Genomic DNA, 27,644 nt, shown 5'->3' with positions numbered 1-27,644 from the left:
GTTTTTCTCATTTCTCAGATCTCTGTGACATAAAGGGACAGGAGTCTATTTAATTTTGGTCATTGCTGCTTCTTTCCTATAAAATTATAAAAATCTTTATTCAAGACAAATTATATACATTAAATATGTGCAATTTTTTAGGCATACAATTGTACCTCAATAAAGCTGATAAAAAGAGTTGCACGGATATACCACTAGCCATCTCAGCAAGAGATTGTTCCAACTCAAGGCTCTCCTGTGGCCATTTCTTGGATCAGCCTCTGGTTTTCCACTACAGGTTCTGCCTTAACTATTTTTCTCTGGTTAAAACTGTAATGACAGACTGAAGCCCCCACCCCTCCTCCACCACCTCCAAGTCCTATCTGTATTTAAGATTTATGTCTTAAAAAGTGTTTCAGAGGAAAGAAAAGGGAAGAACAACCTATCCACACACATGAACACAACGCTTCTCAGTTATCCCATCTGAGAAATAAAGCATCATTGACGGAGCTCACTTGGGAACGTCCAAATATTTACTGAAAGAAAATGACTGCATATCAAGAGGTGGAAGAAATGCCTAGGAAAGCAGATTCTGATAAGATTTGCTGCTGTGTGCACTGGCAAAAACAACTTAACCAGACAAACACCAGTCTATAAATCATGGCAGTTACTCCCAGGAAAGTGGTGTTCCTGTAGAAGAAGAGGTTTTCTTTTTCGTTTTTTTTTTTTTTTTTTTTTTTTTTTTTTTTGCTACCATTATTTACCAAGAGACTTGGTATTTAAAAAAGAAATGAGAAGGTAGATTGATCAGGGGCCATTATGGGAATAGCTGCTCTGAACCCAGCCTTGAAGACAGGTCCTTGGAATCCAGCACTTCCCCCTGTTAAAACACCATTTCCAGTACCAAAAAGAAAAAAAAAAGTGTGCAATTTTATGCAACAAAAAATATGCTGTTGTGACAGGAAACACTAATTAGATGTCTGGAGTGAGGGGGCTGCAGGGGGATTCTGTTGCAAATTCATAAAGGAATTTTAAATACTCAATGTGTGAGTATACTGTAATACAGAAGGAGGCAAGAAAGTGAAATGAACACTAGACGCCATCAGAAAAATAATTTGTAAATATTTGCTTTTTGATAAAGCTAAATGCTTTTTTTTAATAAAGTTGTTCCTTGGTGGTATAAATAACTAGAACACAAAATAAAGACATCCCCAGAGGACAGACGTTTTAAATGTTAATCAAGAAAGCAATTTCCATATAATACAAAAACTAACATTGAGAAGAAGAGAAAGGACAAAATAAAGATGAAAAGTTTTCCTTGAAATATTGAGGGAAAAGTCTTTTAATGTAGTTTCTGTAAAACACAAATATATTTTAACAATATTTTCCATCACTGATAAAATCATAGGTACGTTTAGAGAACATATTAACATACTGATAGCCAATTTGCATTTGGGAAAGTCTGACTTTCCAAAAGAAGAATCACAACTTGTTTTTTTCCCCCTTTTAACCTCGAATATCCCACTTTACCAACTGAAAACAGACTCTAGGACACAACAGCAATATATCCAGGATCCCAACACAAGGTAATTAAAGGCCTAAGGAAATCAAACTGTGGTCAGCAGCTTTTTGTTATCTTTATCTAATTATCCATCAGTCTGTCTCCATAAATGGCACTTGGTTAATTCAACGAATATTTACTGAGCACTCACTACATGTAAGGTTGTAAGGTGCTCTTCTAGGCACTAAGATTAGGGCAGCAAAGAAAATCTACATGTCCCTTTTCTCCCAGAGTTTACAACCTAGACTAGAGGCAGGACTGCAGAGAAAGGGGAGAAATGTTTCCCAGTTGGAAACACTATTGGCATTTGAGATCAAAATCCTTGATGATCAAAATCTCTCAAGCTGGCTGGGTGCGGTGGCTCATGCCTGTAATTCCACCACTTTGGGAGGCTGAAGCAGTGGATTGCTTGAGTCCAGGAGTTTGAGACCAGCCTGGGCAACATGGCAAAACCATATCTCTACAAAAAATACAAAAATTAGCCAGGCATGGTGGTGTGTGCTTGTAGTCCCAGCTACTTGGGAAGCTAAGGTGGGAGGATCACTTGAGCCCAGGAAGTCGAGGCTGCAGTGAGCCAAGATTGCACCACTGCACTCCAGCCTGGGTGACAGAGACCCTATCTCAACACACACATACACACACACACACACACACACACACACACACACCCCAAAGTCTGAAGTCTAAAATCCTAAAAATCACAATCACATCATATTGCGTCATGTTAGGTGGAACTATTATCTCGTTATTATCTCTTTTAGAAATTAAGTATGGTTTAAGGAGATGTGTATGGGCGCCAAGTTGACAAGGGGTGGGTTTGTGGATTTAATTTTAGCTTGTCAATTTGACTGGATTCAAGAATACTTAGAAACCTGGTAAAGCATTATTTTGGGTATGTCTAGGAGGGTGTTTCCAGCACAGACTAGAGTGTGAGTCTAGTGAATAAAGTAGGGAAGATTGGCCCTCAGTGTTGGTGGGTATCATCCAATAGGCTGAGGGCCTGGAGAGAAAACAGAAGGGGAATTAGTGTCTCTCTGAGAGCTGGCACAGACTTCTCTTCTGCTACCTTGGACATCAGAACTCCAGGCTCCCTGGCCTTTGAATTCCAGGACTAACACCAGTGGCGCCCGGGTTCTGAGTCTGTTAGCTTCAGACTGAGAGTCACACCATCGGCTTCCCTGATTCTGAGGCCCTTGGACTTAGACTGAGCCATGCTACCAGCATCCAAGGGTCTCCAGCTTGCAGATGGCCTGTCATGGCATTCTTCACCTTTCATAATTGCATGAACCAATTCTCCTAATAAATATCCTCTAGTATATCTATATACATACGCTATTAGTTCTGTCTGTTTAGAGAATCCTAACTAATACAGATTTGGTGTTGGGGAAACTAAATATCTTTCCTTCTTACTATATTCCTTATAACACAATGGTAGAGATCTGTGAAATTGTTCCCTTGGAAAAAAAAAAAAAAGCTGTGATAATTATATGAGGCTACTTAATGGTAAAAGATAAAAGTTTAAAAGCTAATTGTTATGGGTGTTTTGAAAGCAGAAAATGGCTTAATTCCAATGGTCAAGCAATAACCATAGTTTCTGATGGACAGCATGTACTTAACAAAATTTGTAGGCCACAACCACTCTCCAAATACAAGCGCAGCAATTGTTTCAAAGATCATAGAGGTGAAAAATACAAGAAATCTCTTCTGCCAAATTATTCAATCATGTATGACTTCTGCCTCTTCACACACAGTGTAATGCTTGCTTTCAAAAACACTCTTATTCAGTGAATAAAAAGAATTTGGCAAGCTCAGTGACCTTCTGAACCAAAGACACTGGGTGATTTTGAGGTTCCTTCAGTGTTACAAAGCATATTAAATGGTGAACTATTCTTGATTAGGCATTTGACTGAAGTAAATAGATTTTTTTTTTACATTTACCACTAAATCTAACATAGAAAAACTAGCACATGCTTCACTTTGGCTAGTGGATGGCACTTTCTTTTTTCTTCTACAACAATTATCTTAGGAAGGATGGCACTTTCAAAACTGTCCCCATTGTTTTTGTTGTTTTTTTTTAAATCAGGTATACACACAATTCATGCCCCTGTTGGATCTGAAATATCCTGAACTTATCTGCTCATTTATGTATTAATGACTGGAAAGAGTGAAGTACTTTATAAATGCTGATTTGAAAACTTTGTGGCTTCCTCCTTGCTTCTTTGTCTTGGATCAGTCACTCTGGAGGAAGCCAGATGACATGTCATGAGGATGCTCTAGCAGTCCTATGGAGAGCCCCACATGGTGAGGAACTGAGGCCACCTGCCAATATGAGCCACCTTGGAGGCAGGTCCTCCAGTCCCAGTCAAGCCTTCAGATGACAGCAGCCTGGGCTAACATCTTCAGTCAAACCTCATGAGACACCCTGAGCCAGAATCCCCTAGCTAAGCCACTCCCAGATTCAGACCCCTAGAAAACATGAGCTAAAAATGTCTGTTGTCTTAAGCTGCTAAATTTGGAGTAATTTGTTTCTCAGCAATGGGTAACTAATATAAGTGTGTAGTTTGATCACCATGGTCTAAATAGAAACCTAATCTTCCAAAGTTATTTTAAACCTTCCATATTGCAAATCAGTGTGGTCCAGGTGTCAGCAGCAGCTCCTGTCTTTAGGACATCTTGACATAATTGTCTCTACTCAGAGCTTAACCAGCTCCACAGCTATGAATTGTGAACTCTATCCTGTGGCATCATCCTGAATACAAAGTACTTCCCTGTCTTCTAGACTTCTGTTTCCACCTAACCAGAGATTATTTGCAAATAAATACAATGTTCTCCTTCATAGGAACTGAGGTAAGTACAACTGTCTCCATCTCATTGTTCAATATCTTATTGGATTGCAATGCATAGATTTATAACCTCTGAATCAAACTACTATCAACATATCCCAAAGTACCAGACCCATTTAATGGAACAACACCCTGTGCCACCAATTGTTAACATGTGTGATGAGCAGCTTCTAGGACAGCTCCCCTGATTCCCAGTTCCTGGTATTCATGTCCCTGTACAATTTCCTCCCTTTAAATGTGGGCTGGGCCTAGGAACTTTCTTCTAACAAACAGACTGTGGTGAATGTGATGGGATGCCACTTCTGAGATGAGATTACAAAAAGACTCGGGCTTCTACCGTGTTAATACTGATGACAGCCAGATGCCGTGTTGTGAGCTGCCCTGTGAAAAGGCCCATGTGCCAATGAACCAAGGGAGACCTGCAGCCAACAGCCACTGAGCTACTGAGGCCCTCAGCCCAACAGTCACAAGGAACTAAATCCTGCCAACAACCACATGAGTGAGCTTAGAAGAGGATCTTCCCCTGATTGGGCTTTGAGGGAACCACTGCCCTGGTCAGCACCTTGGGTGTAGGCTTATGGGAAACCCTGAGCCACAGGACCCAGCTAGGCCGCACCCAGTTTCTGACCCACAAAAAAGTGAGATAGTAAATGTTTGTTGTTTAAGCTGCTACATTTGGGGGTAATTTATTACACAGCAACCTATAAGTAATATACTGTGGGAAAAGAATTAGCTATAAAACATAAATTGTAAAGTGCACTACAGTCAAGTGTTTCTAGAGCATGTTCAGCACTGTTAACACAAAGCACTAAACAATATTTGACCAAGACCTAGTAACACCAAAGCATAGATTATGGGATGCAAATTTATCTTGACATGTGAATTTTCTCTGTGATAAGTTTTCCCAGATTCATCTTTGTTGTCTTCATAATTCATAATAATTGTGCATGGGAATATAAACACAGCTATAGAGTATTAAAATGTTTTTAAAAAGCATTAAGTAGAAATATATCTGGCATTTACATAGCTTCTGATCTCCTTTCTTAGGTTTTATGAATTCACTACCTACCACATGGTGGATGAGCATTTGTCATACTTAAATATGTATGGGAAAGTAAATTTGGAAAGCCATTCATCAGCACCATTTGTTTTAAACCCTTGAATTGAAAAAGGAGAAAAGTAGCTGAGTTTTGAATTTTTCTCTAAATTGGCATTTCTCTAAATATACAAGCTATTTAGGGGTGGTATATATATATATTTTAAAGGTTCCATTGTCAAATAAGTTTGTTAAAAGCTAGGTGAAATTAAATTAAAATAGGCTTATTTTTTACACAACATCTCTAAGCCTTTTTTCAGCAGTGTACCTGCTGTACTAACAGCAGTGTACCTGCTGCTGGGTCACCTAAGCCTTTGCTATGTAAATAAGTATTGTGAATCTCTAAAAGGAGATTGTGTTCTGCAGCGTTTTTTTAAATCTTATTTGGTTGAATGACTGATGCTTCTTCTCCAGGAACATTCCCTGAAATCACAGTTTGGCAAAACTGTTGAAAATTAAGAGCTTAACTGAAAACTGACATCTGAATGTTGCTCTCAGCTCTTTCCTATCAGAAGATTCCATTCCTCAGATGTTATCAAAGTCACCCCCAAACTTCCCTCATGGGTGGAAGCTTTATTAGGTAAGAAGCTGAAGCTACACACTTAAACAGGTTTAATACTTCTCACCAGTAGTGGGTTTAGCTTCATTCACAATTGCAACAGACAACATTAGTAACCATATGTGTTCTTAAAATAGGGTTAATAAATGGTAATAGTAAACCCACAGTAAATGTTAACTATGTGCCAGGCATTATTGTGACCCCCCAAAAAATCTGTACTGACAGATGAAAGAGTTGACATCCAGGAAGGTTAAAGAAAACACTGTTTAAATACCACCACCAATATCTGTGTACCATGTATTCATGCCGGGGGAGTACTGTTATAATATGGACATTGCCTGCATTGGTTCAACAATTCAATGCAAATTATTTAATGAAAGAACAAGCACAAATTAATCTTATACCCTATTAAAATTCATCTCAGTTTGCTACTGAATTTTCCCCTATTGATTATTATGTTGTAACAATAGAAACAATATTGACATACTATTCTCATGACAAATATTAATGCACCAAGGATTATATAGTAAATACCAAGATACAACAAATTAATATTCCATTAGTATTTTTTAACATATTTTGAACTAAATTGGCTATAAAATTCACAAGCTTTACAATTTTAAAGTGAGATTTTTTTTCTAGGAGCTTCTATAATTCTAGTGAATACACATTGAATTTATATATAATACCAACCAGCAAGAGCTCTTACAACTGCCTCCTTTGGCTCTTGTTAATGCCTGTATATCCACATATGTTTTGCACAATGAACATTAATGCACAGAGACTACATGTGTTTTTACAATTATTTGTTGACTTTTAAGAGGAAAAAGTTTTAACTTTTAAAAATTATGCCACTTAGGAAATTTTTCTAGTTGTTAAACTTTTAATTGAATATCATAGTAAAGTTTCTGTAATTGATAGCAAAACAGATCAGATACTCATTGTTTAATCTAGAAGAGACCCAACTGTATCTGAAAGTTTTATCATATGTTGGCCGAGCGCGGTGGCTCACACCTGTAATCCCAGCACTTTGGGAGGGCTGGGCAGGCAGATCACCTAAGGTCAGGAATTCAAGACCAGCCTGGCCAAGATGGCGAAACCCCACCTCTACTAAATATACAAAAATTAGCCAGGCATGGTGGCAGGTGCCTATAATCCCAGCTACTCGGGAGGCTGAAACAGGAGAGCTGGAACCCAGGAGGCGGAGGTTGCAGTGAGCCGAGATTGTGTCACTGCACTCCAGCCTGAACAACAGAGTGAACCTCTGTTTCAAAAAAATAAATAAAAATTTAAAAGTTTTATCATGTGCTATATACTTTATCTTATGAGTAGATTACACACACAAACACAGACACACATGGAAGTAGAATTTCTTTGGCGAGGAGTGGAAAGACGACATGGAACCTGCCCTTTGTCATTAAAGCACAGATGTAGTAAAAAGGATTAGATTTGTGTTCAAATTCCACCTCTAAGTGTTTTATTTTGGACTAGTTACTTAGCCTCTCTGAATTATCTATGAATTGATGGTGAGCAGAGTGATAATACAAGGAGTAGAGACAATATGTATGTACCTAGCACATAGTTCACACTTGACAAAGTCCTGGAAGCACCATCATTATTCGATTTAAAAGGCAAACGCTAAAACTCATATTTTCTAAACCCTCTGTGAATCTGTCTTAATACAAAGAGAAGGAAGTCCCAGCTGGTCAGTGATCATATATATGGAACTTGTTTGATATGACACAGTGAACGTTAAGAGACTTGCCCCCATAGTTTAGGGGAAAATAATTAGCCATTTAGGCATCTAATCCTTAGAGAGGGCATTAGAGGTAGGAGGAGGAGAGAATATCAGCAGGTTTGGGGATGGGGCTGCACAGAGAAGGTAAAGAAAAGAAACCTGAGCGTGGACTGTCTTGTGAACTGGGCTACCACACTGACTTGTCTGTGTCTGTCTCTGCTGCTAGCTCGAGAGCAACATAAGATGCTGGGACTGTGCCTTCTTTATCTTCTGTTGGCCACAGTACCTAACACAGACCTTTACACACTGTGCTCAGTAAAGTGTCAGATGAGTGGGAAGAAAGAATGAAAAGGTAAGGAAGAGAAGCTGGAGAGAAAGGCAGAAGAAAGAAGTGGGCAGATGAGAAGCAAGAAGAGGTAAGGAATTGGTTACTCTCTCAAATGGGAACCAGAAACTTCTACTCTATAAACGTTGCTCACATCTATGTTTTTGTGAATTTTTAAAAACTTTTTTCTCATTTAATTGGTAACAGTTCTTTGGTTCAACAAAACTAAGACCAAGAAAGCTTTACATAGTTGGAAGTATTGGAAGTAGAGTTATTGGATGGTGACGGCAGCTACATCAGTTCCCAAGGGTGGGCTGGGACAGCGAGATGGGGGAACCAGACAGCCATCCCATTAAATGTCCCTCTGTGATGGCTAATCCTTCCCACTAACTCACACCAGCCAATCTAATTACAGCCTGCTTACATGAAGGGCACGACCAAATCTTATCTATTTTTCTATGTAATCCCTCTGAAAGTCATTTCTGAGCTTCAACCTTTTTGGCTATACCCACTGGATTCTGAGATCCTGAGTTCTTTCCTTTCAACTCCATTTCATACATAGCTGTAAAACCTTTTGCTGCTATACTTCCTGCTTCAAAACCTTCATTAAGTCCTTTGTCCTGGCTTCCTTACCTGTCACAGAAAATTTAAGTTGGGGAGATTAGTTTTGATCATAGTACTAAAGAAACTAAGGCCAAAGGTTAAATACCAGAAAAAGCTTATAAATTCCTGAACTCACAAACCTTAGAGCATGAAAAGAATTCTAACAATGATTTAGCACAACGCTCTTATTTTACAGAGGAGACTATTAAGGCCTGGAAAGATCAAGTTTGCATTGAAGGAAAAAAAAAAAAAAAGAATGTATACATGGCCACAGAATGATTTTTAAATCTTAGGCAATCATCTTGAAAATGCCTGTTTTGTATTTCCAGAAGTCAGGCAAGAATGTGGATTACATCATATAACCATCACCCTCCTGGAGGAGGCTGGGAAACCTCAAAGCTCTTGAAATTCTCTTCCCCTAATTGCCAGACCCCTTCCCACTGAAGTATGTGTCCTAATCCTTAGCCCCAATTTGCATTTCTTTTTTTTATTATACTTTAAGTTTTAGGGTACATGTGTACAACGTGCAGGTTTGTTACATATGAATGCATCTGCCATGTTGGTGTGCTGCACCCATTAACTCGTCATTTACATTAGGTATATCCCCTAATGCTATCCCTGCCCCTCTCCCCACCCCATGCATTTCTTTATTTTTGTCAACTGAATGTTGAGGAGAGAAAGACCAGAGAACGATCTCAGATAACATGTGTAGTATAGAAGTGACATACAAGGATTCTGGGGAGAGACGGGGCTGGAGTTCTAGCTCTTAGCTGCCTCCTAACCCTTACTTTGGGCAAGTTTCTTAACCCCTCTAAGCCTAAGTTTTATAGCTGGAAAAATGAGGTCAATACTAAGTCCCACATTGTAGAATTTTTGAAAGGGTGAGTGAGCAACCCTGAACCAGCCTTCTGCTATAACCACATAGACCCTTGTTTGTGACATGTGGCACAGCCTAGTTGTCCCATTTCCCACAGTGAGTTTCTTCCTGGATGGGAGAGATCTGATCTTCTTTCCTAACTAATGACTTCAGCTAGGACTGCCTCAGACCATCAGAGATGTTCTAACAACATTCAACCTCAAAAGGGAAGAAATTAGGATCTCAATCACTTTTATTCCCATAAGCTTCTTAGCACCGTGTGGAAATATGCTTTCACTCTCCCCACCCTACACGCACCAACCAGCAACCTCATATACCAAGGGCATAGAGGGGCTGCCATTGTCCGGCCAAATAAAGTCTTATTCTGCTGCCATAATTCATCTTTATTTCGTGTACTTTCTTCACCTTTATGCCATATTTTCCTATAGCATGGATCGCATTTGATTCTTTCATATTCAGTCACATATTCTTTTTGTTTGTTAAGCATTTGTTTACAAAAGTATTTTTATATTGCTACATAAATAGGCATGCCTGTTAATATACATTCACATTTCTGAAAAGAGCCAAATATTCTCCCCAGAAAAGTATCTGAGTCAAGCTGATCTGATATATCCAGCACCAGAAACACACTTTTAAATAGCAGTTATTCTTTCTATGAGTGTTCCCACATTTCTTCTTATTGGGCAACCAACCCCATCAAAATGATAATATCATTTATTATGTTACTATTATGTCCTAAGCATTTTTTCAAGTGTTACTTTATTTATTCCTCAAATAATCTTAATTTTAATAGATCAGCATGGTTATTCCTATTTTTCAAACAAGGAAACTGAGGTACAATGGGGTAATGTCATCGGCAAAATGTCACTCAGCTAGCAGACCATGGAGCCAGGATTCAAAACAAATCTATATGGAAATGTCAGAGGCATTTGAACCAGAGCAACTCCATCTTGAATAGGAGCTCGGTAAATTAAGACTAAGACTTACTGGGCAGCCGCATTCCCAGATGGCTCGGCATTCTAAGTCACAGGATGAGATAGGAGGTCGGCACAAGATACAGGTCAGAAGACCTTGCTAATACAACAGTTGCAGTAAAGAAGCTGGCTAAAACCTACCAAAATCAAGATGGTGATGAGAGTGACCTCTGGTCCTCCTCACAGCTACACTCCCACCAGCGCCATGACAGTTTACAAATGCCATGGCAAAGTCTGGAAGTTACAGTATATGGCCTAAAAAGGGGAGGCATGAATAATCCACTCCTTGTTTAGCATATCATCAAGAAATAACCATAAAAATGGGCCCAGCAGCCCTCAGGGCTACCCTGTCTATGGAGTAGCCATTCTTTTATTCCTCCACTTTCTTCATAAACTTGCTTTCACTTTACTCTATAGACTCACCCTGAATTCTTGCTTGCATGAGATCCAAGAACCCTCTCTTGGGGCCTGGATCAGGACCATTTTTTGGTAACAATTCTATAACTCATGCCTACATCATCTTAATTTACAGAATTCTCCATAAATGAAATATAAGCCAATGGCTTAAAACGTGTATTAGTCCGTTCTCACACTACTATAAAGAACTAGCTGAGACTGGGTAATTTATGAAGAAAATAGGTTTAATTGACTCACAGTTCCACAAGCTGTACAGGAAGCATGGCTGCGAGGTCTCAGGAAACGTACAGTCATGGTGGAAGGCAAAAGGATAGCAAGCACGTCTTACATGGTGAAGCAGGAGAGACAGAGAGTGAAGGGGGGAATGCCACGCACTTTCAAACCATCAGATCCCATGAGAACTCACTATCACAAGAACAGCAAGGGGGAAATCTACCCCCATGATAGAATCACCTGCCATCAGGCCCTTCCCCAACATTGGGGATTACAATTCAACATGAGATTTGGGTGGGGACACAGAGCCAAACCACATCAAAAGGCAACTATGGCAGAAAGTTTTAGCCTATGACTCAGAAACTCAGTAGCTGTTTGGTGGCAGAGAGGGCGTACAGCAAAAGCCCAAGGAAGTGAGTTATGTGTAGGGGACACACTCTCCGAGGCCCACGGGCTACAGGAGAAACACAGCTGTTTGGCTTCCCACATTGTTAGAGCCCTTACTTGTTCTCTCACTGACAAGTCAGCCCAGTATTCGGAAGACCCACAGAATGGCAGAATCCTTGAAAACTTTCCATGAGACAAGGCATGTTGTAGTATGTGGTAAATTTAGTCACAAGCTGAAAAAACATGTATAAAATACAAATATTATCAAAATGATTTTAACTCAGAGGCTGTAACATTTTAAAGGAAAAATTTTAAAAGAAAATGATAGGTAATATATATATGTACATGTGTGTATGTGGATAGATAGTATTTATATAGATATAAATTATACACTATAAAAATTTACAAATGAGGAATATACATGTGTATACATATATGTATATCGGGGGACCTGCCCCAATAATCACATAGGTTCTTTTCTATTTTCCTAAGCATCGGCTGGCTTGAGAAATAAAGGGACAGAGTACAAAAGAGAGAAATTTTAAAGCTGGGCGTCCGGGGGAGACATCACACGTTGGTAGGATCCGTGATGCCCCACAAGCCACAAAAACCAGCAAGTTTTTATTAGGGAGTTTCAAAAGGGGAGGGAGTATACGAATAGGTGTGGGTGACAGACATCAAGTACTTAACAGGGTAATAGAATATCACAGGGCAAGTGGAGGCAGGGCGGAGATCACAGGACCACAGGATGGAGGCGAAATTAAAATTGCTAATGAAGTTTTGGGCACCATTGTCATTGAAAACATCTTATCAGGAGACAGCGTTTTGAGATCAACCAGTCTGACCAAAGTTTATTAGGCGGGAATTTCCTCTTCCTAATAAGCCTGGGAGCGCTATGGGAGACTGGAGTTTATTTCACCTCTGCAATCTCGACCATAAGAGATATGTACGCCCCAGGGGGGCCAGTTCAGAGACCTACCCCTAGGTGCGCATTCTCTTTCTCAGGGACTTCCCATGCTGAGAAAAGGAATTCAGCGATATTTCTCCCATTTCCTTTTGAAAGAAGAGAAATATGGCTCTGTTCCGCCCGGCTCACTGGCGGTCAGAATTTAAGGTTATCTCTCTTATTCCCTGAACAATTGCTGTTATCCTGTTCTTTTTTCAGGGTGCCCACATTTCATATTGCTCAACTACACATGCTGTAAAATTTTGTAGTTAACGCAATTATTACAGGGTCCTGGAATGATATACATCCTCCTCAACTGACAGGATTAAGAGATTAAAGCAAAGACAGGCATAGGAAATCACAAGGATATTGATTGGGGAAGTGATAAGTGTCCATGAAATCTTTACAATTTATGTTTAGAGATTGCAGTAAAGACAGGCATAAGAAATTACAAAAGTATTAATTTGGGGAACTAATAAGTGTCCATAAAATCTTCACAATCCACGTTCTTCTGTCGTGGCTTCAGCCAGTTCCTCCTTTTGGGGTCCCTGACTTCCCACAACATATGTACATATATCCCCCCCAAATTAAAAACCACCTGTCAAGATTAGATAATCTATCCATGTTAGACATGATAAATGGTAGCATTAGAAGCACTTGAACTTTGTACCGCTTATCTGGGCAGCTACATCAGAGAACTTGTGATCTCAGTAAGCCAGAATTCTTGGGAGAAGGGCCTCATGGCAGTCAGGAGACTCCTTGGTCCAGGCTACAAATACTAGAGCAGTAGTGCTGTCTTGACAAGGATGTTTATCCAGGAATCCATCTGACATTTGGTCAGAAGCTACTGAATTCCTTTAGGGTACTCTGGATATGGACTCCTCTGCACCTGGAGAGTGTGAGCAGTAATAACAGGTGGCTAGAGTTGAAAAGAACATCCCCCACAATTCCACCTGGGCACTGCCCTTCCCTTTTTCCTGTTTACAAAACCGGACTTCCCATTAACTTCAGCCCAACTTCATTCCCTGGCTCCTGTTTCTTGCCTTTGCTTTCTTTAATGAGGCTTTATGCTCAAGTCTGTGTCCAACCTTCAGTTCCATGAGCAAGCTCCATCCCTGGATCTTGGTTCTACCCTGGCCTTGCCTTTGTTCTCAGCTCTGCTCTATACCCTCCTAGCATGCCACCCTCTCCAGTATGCCCACCTTCCATCAACCTCACATCTCCCTTATCCCTTCCCCAGGACTTGGGCTCATGCCTGCCCACATCTGATGTGAGCTCCTAGCTCCTGTTCAACTGGAGCTGGCTCAGCTCCTCACCCAGCTATGTGAAAGCCAGAGGGCTGCCGAGTCTCAAGGTGAGGCCCCAGCAGAGCCAAGGAACCATTCCTCTTCCAAAATTCTTACCAAATACATAAGAGAGTCCCAATAGCCTTGCCAGAGTCAAAGATAATTCCCATCTCTGTGGCAAGCTCTCTATATCTCTGTTCTCCATCCCATATTGTTCACACCCAGAGAAAGGAAGTGTTTCCCTTGGAAATCAAGGCTGGCCATGCACCCGCAATCTTAATCACTAACCTTAAAAGCCATAATGTCTTCAAATTTTTAACTGTACAGGTTCACAATGAATGGAGAGGCTATGGCGTTATACTTAAATGTCAAATAAATGTGTTATATTTCTCTCACTGAGAACTATTGAGGATTGAAGTGATAGAGTTGATTAAAATACCAGAAACAAAACTAGTTTCTGAAAACTTAGTTCTACTGAAAGTAAAAGTATAAGCTTAAAAAAGAAAAAGAAAAGAGGAAAGGAAGGGAGAAAGGAAGGGGGAAGAAAAAGAAAGTGACAGGTCTTGTAGCAGCAAAAACTACTAGGAAAGCTTGGAGATTTTTTCCCCTCATTATACAATTAATACACGGAGACTAATAGAAAACTTTGAAAAAAAAGAAGCAATTTTTAAAACTATTCCACCACCAAAATACATCTGGATTTTATGTGTTTTCTTCATCTTTATGCTATATTTATCTTATAATATAAATCATAAGTATTTCATTTTATTATATACTCAAATGTAAATTTATTATTCGATAAGCATATGATGATGTTACATCATCTTTATAATCATTATTTGAATGGTTGCATAATATTCCACAGATTCCACAGACTGACCAAACTGTTTTACCTAGTTGTTACCAATGTATTACCTGGATAATAAATTGGATATTTAGGTTGTTTCTAATTCTTTCCTGTTTTCAAGTAACACTGCTGCTAGTAATACCTTTACACAATTTTTCAACATTTAGAATATTGTTTTAGGCTAAGTGTCCAGAAGTGGATTAACAAGAAAGGGTATAAACACTTTAATGGTTCCTGATCTATGTTCCTAAATATCTTTCAGAATGAATTTTTACCAATTTACACAAAAAGGTTTGATTTTACTGGACTCATCAAAATTAAACATTGGCATTTTAAAATTATTTTTTATCAATTAACTCATTTTTTACTTTAATTTAGCTTTCTTTGATTCTTATGTATAATTGAATTAGGTATGAATTTTTTTCATTCTCTATACAATTTATATATATAATTTAAATGCTGTTGTAGGCAGAGAGAGTACTAAAGGAATTGCAGACACTTACCAAAGGATTACTTCCCTAAATGTTAAATAGATTTTACCAAAAGTTAAAATTTGTAATGCTCTTTCGAAAACCAGAAGATCTGAATCAGCTTTCTTGCTTCTGCATTTAATTTAGGATCATTTAATAAAGTACTGGTTGATCTTGAAAGTGTTATATTTGTTATTTTTGGTAACAGAAGGAGAAAGAATAATATACTGGAAGCACCACCATTGCAGATTTGTAACAACGGGCTTGTCTTACAGGAGATTGGGTGAAGCCATTTACATCTCATTACTCTGGTCTTATAAGTAATATTCACTTTGAAGCATTTATTTTATTGTATCTTTTGCCTTCCTCTCCATGCATAAAATGTTTACTTATATGGTTTCCTAAAAAAAAAAAAAACTTTGAAAAATTATTCTAAGAATGGGCACTTGCCACCCAAAGTCACTCACTTGGCAATCGTAAAGAACAGGAAATGCTGAGAGAAAGGATTAGAGAGAGGCAGGCTTACCAACAGAGTTACACAGAATTATCAGGACATATGAAAGGTGAGAATATTCATATCTAAAATTTTGGCTTAAAGAATATGAAACATTGATATTAAGGGCTGGAAGTAATCAGCAGTGCACTTGAGCAGGTAAAGAGAAAGGGGGAGCTGTCAAGGAAAATGGAAGGCTTAGACAAACGGTAGACATTCCATGTTCCTGCAATTAATTGCAAGCCAACCAGAATCTCAACCAGGAACCTGGAGCCAAGTAAAGTAACAAAGCGTACTCAATGTCCTAAACCTCCTGTGTACCTCTGGTGAGGCCAGGGCTTAGTGCTTTCCCAAAATGATCTGTAGATTCACAGAAGCAACACCTGTAACCTTCTGTCAACAAACAAAGCCATGAAAATAGCATTGGCCTTTATGTCCACTGGCCCATGTTCTCGAAAAGTCAACGTGGAACTGAAAGCAAACAAGCACTATGCCAAAAAAAATTAAGTAAGAGGCTTTTGGCACATTTTATGACTTCCCGTATTTTGTGTGTTAAGAGAGCGATTTACTCTTGCTCATTAAAAAATGATTCATCGTTTTCCAACAACAAAAGATAAATTTTTAAAAATGTGGTATATTCATTTAATGGAATATTTATAATCTTTAAAATCCATAAGGACATGGGAAGATTTTTGATGTATTTTCAAGTAAAAAAGAACTGTTATAAACCAGTGGAAATTGTTATATTTTAAAAGTGGGTAAAACCATGAGGCTCATACAGATAGAAAATAAACATATGTCAAAATTTCTATGTAACTCATTATTAGTTATTAAATGAGGGAAACAAGCAGATGTTACAACCAATTCAAAGGAGAAATAAATGAACTGGAAATTTACATGGAGCAAATGAATGTTGAAATAAATTTAAAATGAACACAAAACTGGCTTTTTCCTGGGGATGAAGAGGGAGATTGTCTTTCCAACAGACAGAAGTCATTTGAAAGTCTAGAGACAAGAAGTACTTGCATTTTCAATAATTTGTCAGTAATTCATAAATTACAGAATGGGAAAATAACCCAAGGAAAGACAAAGTCCACATCCCTATAGCAGTGATTCTCAATGTTTCCTTCATTATTGCCTTCCTAAGAAGATTTTTTTCGGATATCTTAACCTAATCTCCCCTACTTAGTGCCCTCAAAATTAAACACTAAGATATAAGGATTTTGTTGGATAGAGTTGAACTTTGGAGGGCTACAAACCATTATAATTACTATGATTCTTTTCTGCCCCTCAGATCGAATTTTTGTCCCCTTTGGGGCAATTGAAAATCCATGTTGTTTAGGACAGACAATCCCCAGAGTCTATTGGAAGGAATATCTAGAATCTCTGTAGCCTGTTTCAAAGCTTTAAATTACCTTTACAATATAATACAATGATATCATTCTTTAAAACCACCACATATATGTGTGTCGGGGGTGGGTGTTAAAGTGTATTGCAGGAATCAGCAAACTACAGCTTACAGGCAGACTCTAACCTGCCCATTTTGAAAACACAGCTTTATTGGTGACACACAGCCACACACACAGTTTCTAATCATCTCCTGTCTTCTGTGGCTGCTTCCATGCCCCAACAGCTGACTTGAGTGGTTGCGACAGAGACCTCAGTGTCCACACAGCCTCAAATATTTATTATTTTTGTCCGTTGAAAGAAAACGCTTGCCAATCTCTGGTTTATACTAGGCTGTTGATAGAAATTGTCTCTAGTTAATAAGAAAATAAATTATTTTTCTTTACAAAAAATAACATCTTTATTTTCTATAAATGTTTTACTTATTGATGAGACAAAAACTCAAAATTATTTGTTACACATCAATCGTATGCAAAGCACTTGAAGGATAGAAGTATACACCATGGTTCCTGCTTTTAAAAAAGCTTCTAATCCATGTTGCTGGGATAAAGCGGTATGTTTGCTATCAGAGTTGCAGCAGTTTTGCTGAAGTAAACTAAAAATAGAAGTAGACAGGGACCACTAGAGGGGAAAATAGATAGTAATTGTAAATATGAGCCAGCTCAATATCAACTTCTAGTTTAAACTTTGGCCTTCTGAGCCTTAAAAATAAATGAAAATCAGATTTAATAGTTCATCATGACTGAAGTATTTGTTTCAAATGATTATAAAAATAATAAGAAAGAATATGTGTGTTTTCAACCTCTAGAGAACAGTATTTTCTCTCCATTCAAATTTTATACTCACTGAGGTCATGAAATTCAAAGTTACTCTAAAAACCACTGTGAGAAGATGTCTTCTAGATAGGAAATATTTCAAGACTTAAGCTGTCCTGATTCACATAAATCTCTAATCTTTTCCTGTCCATGTTTCAAGATATCATAGCTTAACAGAGTATCTCAAGGTATGTGTGGCATTCTTTTCAGTTCATTCTCTCCAGTTCATTCTCTCCAGCTTCCAGAAACTTACTTTCCCAGGGACTTTATCCTTGGATGGGTCTCTTTAATACATGAGTGACAATATCTTTGTTCTCATTATAATTCTTATATTATGAAAAAGCTATTTTTTGTAATATAAGACTCTTGTATATAACCATAAAGACCCAGACAAATGATTTTTCTCATTGCTTAATTCTAGAAATTTGAGAACAGCAACCTCCAAACCAGAATATTTATAGAATAAGAATTTTACCTATTGGTAAGATAAAAAGTAAACAGATAAATGAATGAGTCTAGGGGGATCAAAAGAATTAAATTTTTTGGTTGAAAATTCTCCAGGAAAAATAACTATAAAATCACCATTAAATCCAAATCAACTTAATAATTTCGTTGGACCTAAGATATCAGCCTTTTCCAACCATGTTGTCATAAAACACTAAGGTACACCAATCAATTGTGTGGTGTGTCTCCAGTAATCTGTCTCTAATAAAGGCGAAAGTACTGAAGTTTCCAAGTTATTTACTATTTTCAGAAATGAAAACTGATTCAAGGTGACCCCTGTAATAACCATTCTCACTCACTTGCCTTCTAATACATGTTACTGAATGAGCAAGAAAGAAGAAGTTAAGGCCAACGATGTTAAGGCCAACGATACTCCTACAGAAGTGTCTGGCATGTGAACAATATCTGTCATTTATATCATGGTATACAAATGAGGTTCAAACTTGCAGCTGAATGGAAAGAATCAATGGGGAAAGAGAAAATGGTGGAGGAGGGGAAGACAGAAGACGAGGGGGTGAAGAAGCAGGAAAAGAACAACAATTTGGTGAATGAGAAAGGAGGAGAGCCCAAATGGAAACAAAGCAAAAAGAATCAGAAACCAGGAGACAGTGGCTAATGGAAACCACAGGTGCAAAGTCTCTAAAACAAAAAAGGGTGTAGAGGGCAGCATCAATTCCTGCTGAGAAATTAAGCAACCTTGTTGATGTGAGGCAATTAGATGCCCCTAGGCTGGCGTTAAAGCCTGAATCGAAGAAAGAGTTAAAGGAGGGGAAATAGAGCATCTGTAGACTCTTCCTTGCCGAAGCTTGGCCTTGCTGAAAGAGAAAAAGATAGGATAGTGTTTACAGAGAACACTGAGTAAAGGCAATCACTTTTAAGAATTGGAGAGACCTGAGTATGTACAGAGGCTCCAAACAAACAACAAACTAATAAGGTTAGGTTAAAAATATCTTATAGAGAGGAAATACCCAATGGAACAAGGTTCTATTCCCAGAAAGGGCAGAAGGGGATAGGATCATGAACAAGGTTTGGTCTTGAACAAGAAAAGACACACCTCTTCCTCATAAACTGGAAGAGAGGAGATAAGAGGGTATGTATTTGGAGTGCAATTTCTTGTGGATAGAAAGCCATGAGATTCAGATCCTGTAGACCTGAAAAAAGTCATCAACTGAGTGGTAAGAGGACAGGGTAGAAAATGAATAGCTGTTGTAGAACGTGGGAGAGGAAGATGAAGAGAAAGAGCTAAAATTATTGCTCCAGCCCCTCACCCCACCCCCAAGGCCCTGTATATATTTTCCAGAAGAAAGGAAGGAGGAGCTAACAAAGATATTGGAGAGAGAATGGCCACGGTACTGGGAAGAAAGCTGCATTGTCACGGAAGCCATAGTAAGGAACGCTTAAAAGAAAAATAGGAAAATGAAGGAGCTGATCAATAGAATGCAAAACTACCAAGAACTTCGAATGATACATATAGAGGAAACTTCACTACATTTAGCAACAAGGAAGTTATTAGTAACTAAGTGAGATTTTCTATAATGGCAAAGATTAGACCAGATCTCATGGAGTGGTAGTGATGAGTTGAAGACAGTTATGGGAACATTTCACCTTTCCAGGAATTTTAGAAGTGAACAAAGTATGAGATGGGGTAACGGTTTGGGGAGATGGGATATTTTGTATATGAAAGAAAACTGAACATGCATTTGTGTGTTTGTGGCAGGGGTTGAAGGGTATACATTGAGTGCTACTATAACTCAACAACTCAGCTACCTTACAGGATTATTGTCAGAATTAAATAAAACACTTTATAAACTGAAAATTATCATACTAAGTGTTACCATTTTCATGATACACAGATTCTCATTTATTGAATGTACAAAACATGTTTCTTGCCATTCAAAATTCCATTTAGTGTTTTATATGAATGCAGTCATGAATCAATAAACTTTATCATCAGAGTTCTCTCCTTATAGCCACTAAAATCCTTGACAGCTCTGAAAGATGAAATCTCCAGACAAATGAAACCAGCAGTTGCCATCTCAGAACCTGAGCAGAGAAAAATGGAAAAATTACATTAAGCTGATTTCTATGGTCCTCAGACACCTGCAGGTTGTTATGGGGACAAAACACTGACTTTGGGAATTAGCTTGCTTTTTCATTCTGGCTTTCAGATCTGTTGCTAATTTAATGAAACCCATATTTCTGCTGGGCAACACCCAGGTAAGTCTTAGGTCAAGTTTTTAAACCCAAGCCTTTTATCACACTCTGACAGCTGGGAAAATGACGTCTGGAAAATGCCGTTATCAGGAAAAAGCGGTGTGTTTTGCTTTGGGCTCTTCCACCTGAGGTTTTCTGCACATTTGAAAAACTCCAAAGGAGCTAAGCAGTTTGCAGCTAACAGCTAGTAAAGTAATTAAATTGTGTATTTGCCAAAATAAATAAAACTTATTAATTAGTAGGATTGCATTACATTCTAATATTTCGGCCAAAATTTTTTTCTTTTAAGAGTAGGTTCTCAAACTATCAACTCTTGATATGAAATCAGGGGCCTTTGGAACAGAACAATCTTCCTGTTTTTCTGCTATTTTATATATTTGAGAGCAATTAATTTAACCTACCTGAATGTTAATTTTTTCATATAAACTGGAGATAAGAATTATAGTCATGTGCCACTTAACGACAAGGATATGTTCTGGGAAATGCATTGTTAGGCCATTTCATCATTGTGTGAACATCATAGAGTGCATTTTCACAAGCCCAAAGGGTATATATAGCCCACTACACACCTAGTCTAGACGGTCTGTTACCATACAGTTACTGCAGGCAACTGTAACACAATGATAAGTATTTGTGTACCTAAACATATCTAAACATATAAAAGGTATAATAAAATACAGTGTAAAAGATTAAAAGTGGCACACCTGTATAGGGCACTGACTGTGAATGGAGCTTGCAGGAAGTTGCTCTGGGTAAGTGAGTGAGTAGCGAGTGAATGTGAAGGCCTAGGACATTACTGTATACTACTGTAGACTTTATGAAAAGGTATACTTAGCCTACACTCAATTTATTAAAAAAAATCTTTCTTCAATAATAAATTAAACTTAGCTTACTATAACTTTATTTTATAAACATTTAAAATTTTTTAACTTTTTGACTCTGTTTTAATAACACTTAGTTTAAAACACAAACCCATTGTCAGTGGTACAAAAATATTTTCTTTATATTCTCACTCTATACATTTTTTTTCCATATTTAGAACTTTTTAATTTTTATTTGTTACTTTTAAAACTTTTTTTGTTAAAAACTAAGACACAGACACGTACATTAGCCTAGGTTTACAGAGTATTGGGATCATCAAGATGTCACTCGGTGAGAAAAATTTTTCAGCTCTACTATAATCTTATAGGACCACCACCTTATATGCAGTCTGTTGTTGACCGAAATGTCACTATGCAGCCAAATGACTGCTTTGGTAAAGAGGAACATTTGCACCTTCGTTCAGCACAGTAAGCATTGGGCATATCATCCTTGTCTTCACAGAACTTTGGATATTCAAAATGCAATATTACTAAAATAGTATTTCCAGCTCTTAAACATTGAAAACCTGGCTCTCAGAGATTAGCTATGGGTTTTGAAACAGAGAATCTGTGGAAAATTTGGCATTAGAACAGAGGCCACCAAAAGCGAGATGGGATACACAATAGACTCTTAATGTAGGTCTGTCTGGGAGAAGGTGGGGACAAGATGGAATGTGGAATCAAGAAGATTGAATGTTATTTTAGCGCACTTGTTGTCACCCTGAAAATGCACTGGGTTTTGTAGATTTTGAAAGTTTTCATAAATATTTTAACATAGATTTAAATAATCCATGTCTCTTTACTCCTTTTAGTACAAATCAATATATAGTTTGTTAAAGTTGTATCTTCAGAATCATAAATAAAGATAACTTTATTTTAACCCTTATTAATTTAAGTGAGGCAGCTTCAAGTTGGAAGCCTTACATAAAATGATCAAATGTAATACTTGGCTAACTCATATTTCCCCACATCTAGTGAATTTCCTGGGCTGTCAACCAAAAAAAAAAAAAAAAACCTGGTTTGAGCAAAAAGACGCTTAGTAAGGAACGAGGACATTCCTCTATGCCAGTCTTACATAAGAATCATATTGGCAGCAATTCTTCCAAGCCATCATCGTCAAATGCTGCTATCTGCTAAAGACAGGAACAGTGCAGCAAACTGCAGAAGAGCAATGAGTCACAGGCAATACCTGCCACACGCCTTATCCTCAAGGTAAATGCATGTCATGAGGCAAGGCCACAGAGTCCCAAAATAGTCTGAGCCTGTCACTTGGTACCCAAAGTAATTATTCAAGAAATAATTGTTTCTAAAGGGACAAATTACCCCATCAGCATAAAATGACACTGTCATGAGACTGTTGGATAATGTCTTTCTTTTAAATAATTTCATGGTAATCACTCTGACATGAAAATTATAAATTAAAATTACATCAGCTAAAGGGAGTCAGGAATTGTTTCCTAAATATCTCCTCAGTTCCAGTCTAGGTTTGAAATAATTCCCACAGAAGGACCACAGTAGGAGCTGGTCACGAGAATCTATGGGAATCAACTATGAAGAAAACTGAAAAGCAAGTGCCTCAGAAAGACCAGAAAGACTGGAGGCTTCCCATGGGGAGAAGTCAGAAGAAGATGCTCCAGAGCTCGAATTTTCATGCACACGCCTGCTAGAGAGCCACGTCCTGTTACAGAGCACATGAAAGGGGTGTCTGAACACAGAACTTTAAACATGGGTCAGGATCAACTAACCCAAAGTTTGCAAGGTGTATTAGTTTCCTGGGGCTGCCATAACAAATGATCACACACTGGGTAGCTTAAAACAATAGAAATCTATTGTCTTGAAGTTCTGGAAGCTGGAAGTCCAAAATCAAGAGGTCAGCAGATCAAGAGGCTCCTCCTAGAAGTTCTGAGAGAGAATCTGCTCTATGCCTGTCTCCTAGCTTCTAGTGGTTGCTGGCAATTCTTGGTGTTCCTTGACTTGCAGGTGCATCACTGTAATCTCTGCCCCCATTGTCACATAGTGCCCTCTTTGTGTCTGTCCAAATTTCCCTCTTTTTATAAGGATACTGGCCATTGAATTAAGGTCTACCATAATCCAGTATGACCACATCTTAACTTGATTACATCTGAAAAACACTATTTCTAAGTAAGATTACATTCACAGGTACCAGTGGTAAGGATTTGAACATATTTTGTTGGAGTCGGGGGACACAATTCAACCCACAACACTAGGTCTCTCAGAAGCAACCTGGTTGTCCACTACCACAATGATGTGGGACCTTCTGGCACAATGTGAGGAAACCATAGAATGTTAAAGCTAAAAGCAATCTTAGCAATCACCAAACCTAACCATCTTACTTCATAATTAAGAGATCTTTCCAAAGCAGCAGTTTGTAACCAAGCACACTATTGAGACCCAGGGTACACAATCTATGGTAAGGGTTGAGACAAGTAAATGATTATTTTTTAAAAACACTAAGTAGTGAGGATGATTCACTTTCACTATGCACAAGGATAGATGAACAGCTGTGCCCATAAGTCCCTCACTCACACTCACTTGTATTTCTTGTGTTGGAGAGAAAGGAGGGACAATAAAGCCTAAGGTGCTGAGAATTGCCTGTAATCCACATGCATCTTACCTCTGCTTCCAAGAAAGTATATCAAGCATTAGAATGTCAACCAGATGGGTATCCCAGTACAAAAATGGCTAAAAATCCCTATTCTGCAAGAAGTACTTTAGCAGGCAAAGACTGTGAGATGCACACATGCACTACCCAGTTTCTGGACACACACAGAAGAAACAGAAAGGGGAACTTGAGAGAAATATGCAAATGGCATACATAGTAGAGCACAACCTCAAACAAGGTGGCTTAGACAGGGTTGCAATGGAGAGCAAAGAAAGTGTGTAAAACATAGAATCAAAGGAAAATCTTCAGAAGGCCCCACTGAAGACCCCACCCAGACACAAAATGACTGTCTTCAGTCCTCTACCTTCCAGCAGGAAGAAAAGAAAGATAAAGAACAATCTATACAAACTTTGCCCTGCTCACCTGAGAGGCACTATAGCAAAGTGGCTATGACTAAGGTATCCACTCTAGGGATGATATCAGTTCTGCTTCTGGAAGGCTGTGTGACCTCAAGCAAGTTACTTTAACTCTCTGGGCCTTGGTTTCCTCATTTATGAGGACGATAATAGGAACTAAGGTGGTTTGAAGGACAAGGTTAATAGACATAAAATACTTAGAAAAATGTCTGGCACATAGTAGACAATAAATACTAGCTATTATTTTTATAGTGTTGTTTGTGAGGATCCAATGAAACATTTACAATTTCTGAAAGCTATAAAATTGACATTGTTACATCAGTAATAAAGGGAATGATATCTTCTTTAAAACAGATTATTTTATACTTGACAAATATTTATGAGGCTCTTTTGACATATTTTCTTGAATTTAAACTCAGCTATAAAAGATAAACACTACTTTTTGAAATTCACGTAGGCAATTTTTAAATGTTTAAATCATTTAATATCTTACATTGGCCAATGTATAGGTATAGACTCATTATTTTGGAGTCTTGGAGTCTTTCTAAATGCTCTCTAAATTCACCATATTTGGATAAAAATCACATTAGACTGGTAACAAGACTTCAGGTTCAAATTCTAGCCCTGCCATAAACAAACTGAATGTCTTTAGGCAAGTTATTTGGCCTCTCAAAACCACAGTCTCCTCATACATAAAATTTCCAGGTGGGAGCAGATAATCGGTAAGGCCACATGCAATTATAAGATTCCATGAGTTGTAAGTTAGGGCAAACATCATTATCTTTGTTTTCTTTAGGATACATTTTAAAAGACTTGCCTGAAGTCAGACATTTCAAATTTCAAACAAACAGAAAACGCCATTCTCCTGGCTCCCACACTGGAACTTTCAGTTCACTGAATCTCCAACTTTTGAAATCAAGATGCCATAGAACTTTACTATGTAAAAATATTGAAAATAAAGACAATTGAAGAAAAATAAACTCACAATTCTTAGCAAGTTGACACCACCTGAAAAACACTTCTGTTTTAATCTTTCTCAGGCAAAAGGATACCTCTACTAGCCTGGCAGAAGCAAGGTCAAAAAAATTTCCAAAGGTAGACAAAGCCAACTCATCCTATTCATATAGCCTGAAACCAACAAACTAATTTTGCTGCTAGCCTGCATTGGTCTCAACACTGCCCGATTTTAAGAAAACTGCAATGGCCAACAGTACGTCGCTCCACCTGTGCCTCACCAATGTATTTAACACTACCTGACAAAAGTCAGCAGGAGGGACAGTGACATGGTTTGGCTGTGTCCTCACCCAAATCTCATCTTCGGTTATACCTCCCATATTTCCTACATGTCATCGGAGGGCCCTGCTGGGAGGTCATTGAATCACAGGGGCGGGGGGAGGGGTGGTATTTCCCATGCTGTTCTCATGATGGTGAATAGGTCTCACAAGATCTGATGGTTTTATAAAGGGGAGTCCCCCTGCACACACCTGCCTGCCGCCATGTAAGACATGACTTTACTCTTCATCTGCCTTCCGCCATGACTGTGAGGCCTCCCCAGCAATGTGGAACTGTGAGTCAATTAAACCCTTTTCCTTTATAAATTACCCAGTCTTGGGTATGTCTTTATTAGCAGCATGAGAACAGACTAGTACAGTAAATTGGTACCAGAAGTGGGTGCTGCTGTAAAGATACCCGAAAATGTGAAAGTGACTTTGGAACTGGGTAACAGGCAGAGGTTGGAACAGTTTGGAGGGATCAGAAGAAGATAAGAAAATGTGGGTGGGAAAGTTTGGAACTTCCTAGAGACTTATTGAATGGCTATGACCAAAATGCTGATGTGATATGGACCATGGAAGTCCAAGCTGAGGTGGTCTCAGATGGAGATGAGGAACTTCTTGGGAAATAGAGTAAAGGTCACTCTTGCTATGCAAACAGACTGGTGGTATTTTGTCCCTGCACTAGAGATCTGTGGAACTTTGAACTTGAGAGAGATGATTTAGGGTATCTGGAGGAAGAAATTTCTAAGCAGCAAAGGGTTCAAGAGGAAGCAGAGCGTAAAAGTTTGGAAAATTTGCAGCCTGATGACACTGTAGAAAAGAAAAACCCATTTTCTGGGGAGAAATTCTAGCCACCAGCAGAAACCTGCATAAATAACAGGGAGCCAAATGTTAATTGCCAAGACAATGGGGAAAACGTCTCCAGGGCATGTCAGAGGTCTTCACGGCAGCCCCTCCCATCACAGACCCAGAGGCCTAGAAGGAAAAAATGGTTTCATGGGCCAGGCCCAGGTCTCCCCTGCTCTGTGCAGCCTAGGTACTTGGTGCCCTGCATCCCAGCCACTCCAGCTTTGGCAAAAATGGGCCAAGGTACAGCTTGGGCTGTTGCTTCAGAGTATGCAAGCCCCAAGCCTTGGCAGCTTCCACATGGTGTTAAGTCTGCAAATGCACAGAAGACAAGAATTAAAGTTTGGGGACCTCTGCCTAGATTTCAGAGGGTATATGGAAATGCCTGGATGTCCAGGCTTAAATTTGCTGCAGAGGGGGGTCCTCAGGGAGAAGCTCTGCCAGAGCAGTACAGAAGGTAAATGTGGGTTTGGAGCCCCCACACACAGTCCCCACTGGGGCACTGCCTGGTGGAGCTGTGCAAAGAGGGCCACTGTCCTCCAGACCCCAGAATGGTGGATCCACCAACAGCTTACACCTTATGTCTGGAAAAGCTGCACACATTCAATGCCAGCCCATGAAAGTAGCCAGGAGAGAGGCTGTACCCTGCAAAGTCACAGAGGTGGAGCTGCCCAGGACTATGGGAACCTACCTCTTGCATCAACCCAGATGTGAGATATGGAGTCAAAGGAGATCATTTGGAGCTTTAAGATTTGACTGCCCTGTTGGATTTCAGACTTGCATGGCACCTGCAGTCCCTTCATTTTGGCCAATTTCTCCAATTTTAATGGATGTATTTACCCATTGCCTGTACCCCCGTTTTATCTAGGAAGTAACTAACTTGCTTTTTATTTTACAGGCTAATAGGTGGAAAAGACTTGCCTTGTCTCAGAGAAGACTTTGGACTGTGGACTTCTGAGTTAATGCTGAAATGAGTTAAGACTTTGGGGGGCTGTTGGGAAGGCATAATTGGTTTTGGAATGTGAGGACATGAGATTTGGGAGGGGCCAGGGGCAGAATGATATGGTTTGG

General features: G+C 38.8%; 1 long non-coding RNA gene across 1 annotated transcript in view, besides 2 other annotated features; it reads right to left on the bottom strand.

Annotated features, from left to right (window-relative positions):
- The window catches only part of LOC107985239 (uncharacterized), a 202,893-nt gene that overhangs the window by 129,879 nt on the left and 45,370 nt on the right, over window positions 1-27,644 (bottom strand). The gene's annotated exons all lie outside the window — the stretch shown is intronic.
- Window positions 12,039-12,689: an enhancer, noted in NCBI's record as "OCT4-NANOG hESC enhancer chr1:185507470-185508120 (GRCh37/hg19 assembly coordinates)". NCBI's record gives its function as "activates a minimal SCP1, AML or CMV promoter by ChIP-STARR-seq in naive H9 embryonic stem cells {active_cell/tissue: H9 hESC(naive)}" and the evidence as "EXISTENCE:reporter gene assay evidence [ECO:0000049][PMID:30033119]".
- Window positions 18,682-19,341: an enhancer, noted in NCBI's record as "OCT4-NANOG hESC enhancer chr1:185500818-185501477 (GRCh37/hg19 assembly coordinates)". NCBI's record gives its function as "activates a minimal SCP1, AML or CMV promoter by ChIP-STARR-seq in primed H9 embryonic stem cells {active_cell/tissue: H9 hESC(primed)}" and the evidence as "EXISTENCE:reporter gene assay evidence [ECO:0000049][PMID:30033119]".

The sequence above is a fragment of the Homo sapiens genome, chromosome 1 (assembly GCF_000001405.40).
Source record: "Homo sapiens chromosome 1, GRCh38.p14 Primary Assembly".
Taxonomy (NCBI): Eukaryota; Metazoa; Chordata; class Mammalia; order Primates; family Hominidae; genus Homo; species Homo sapiens.
This window is presented reverse-complemented; position numbering and strand designations above follow the sequence as displayed.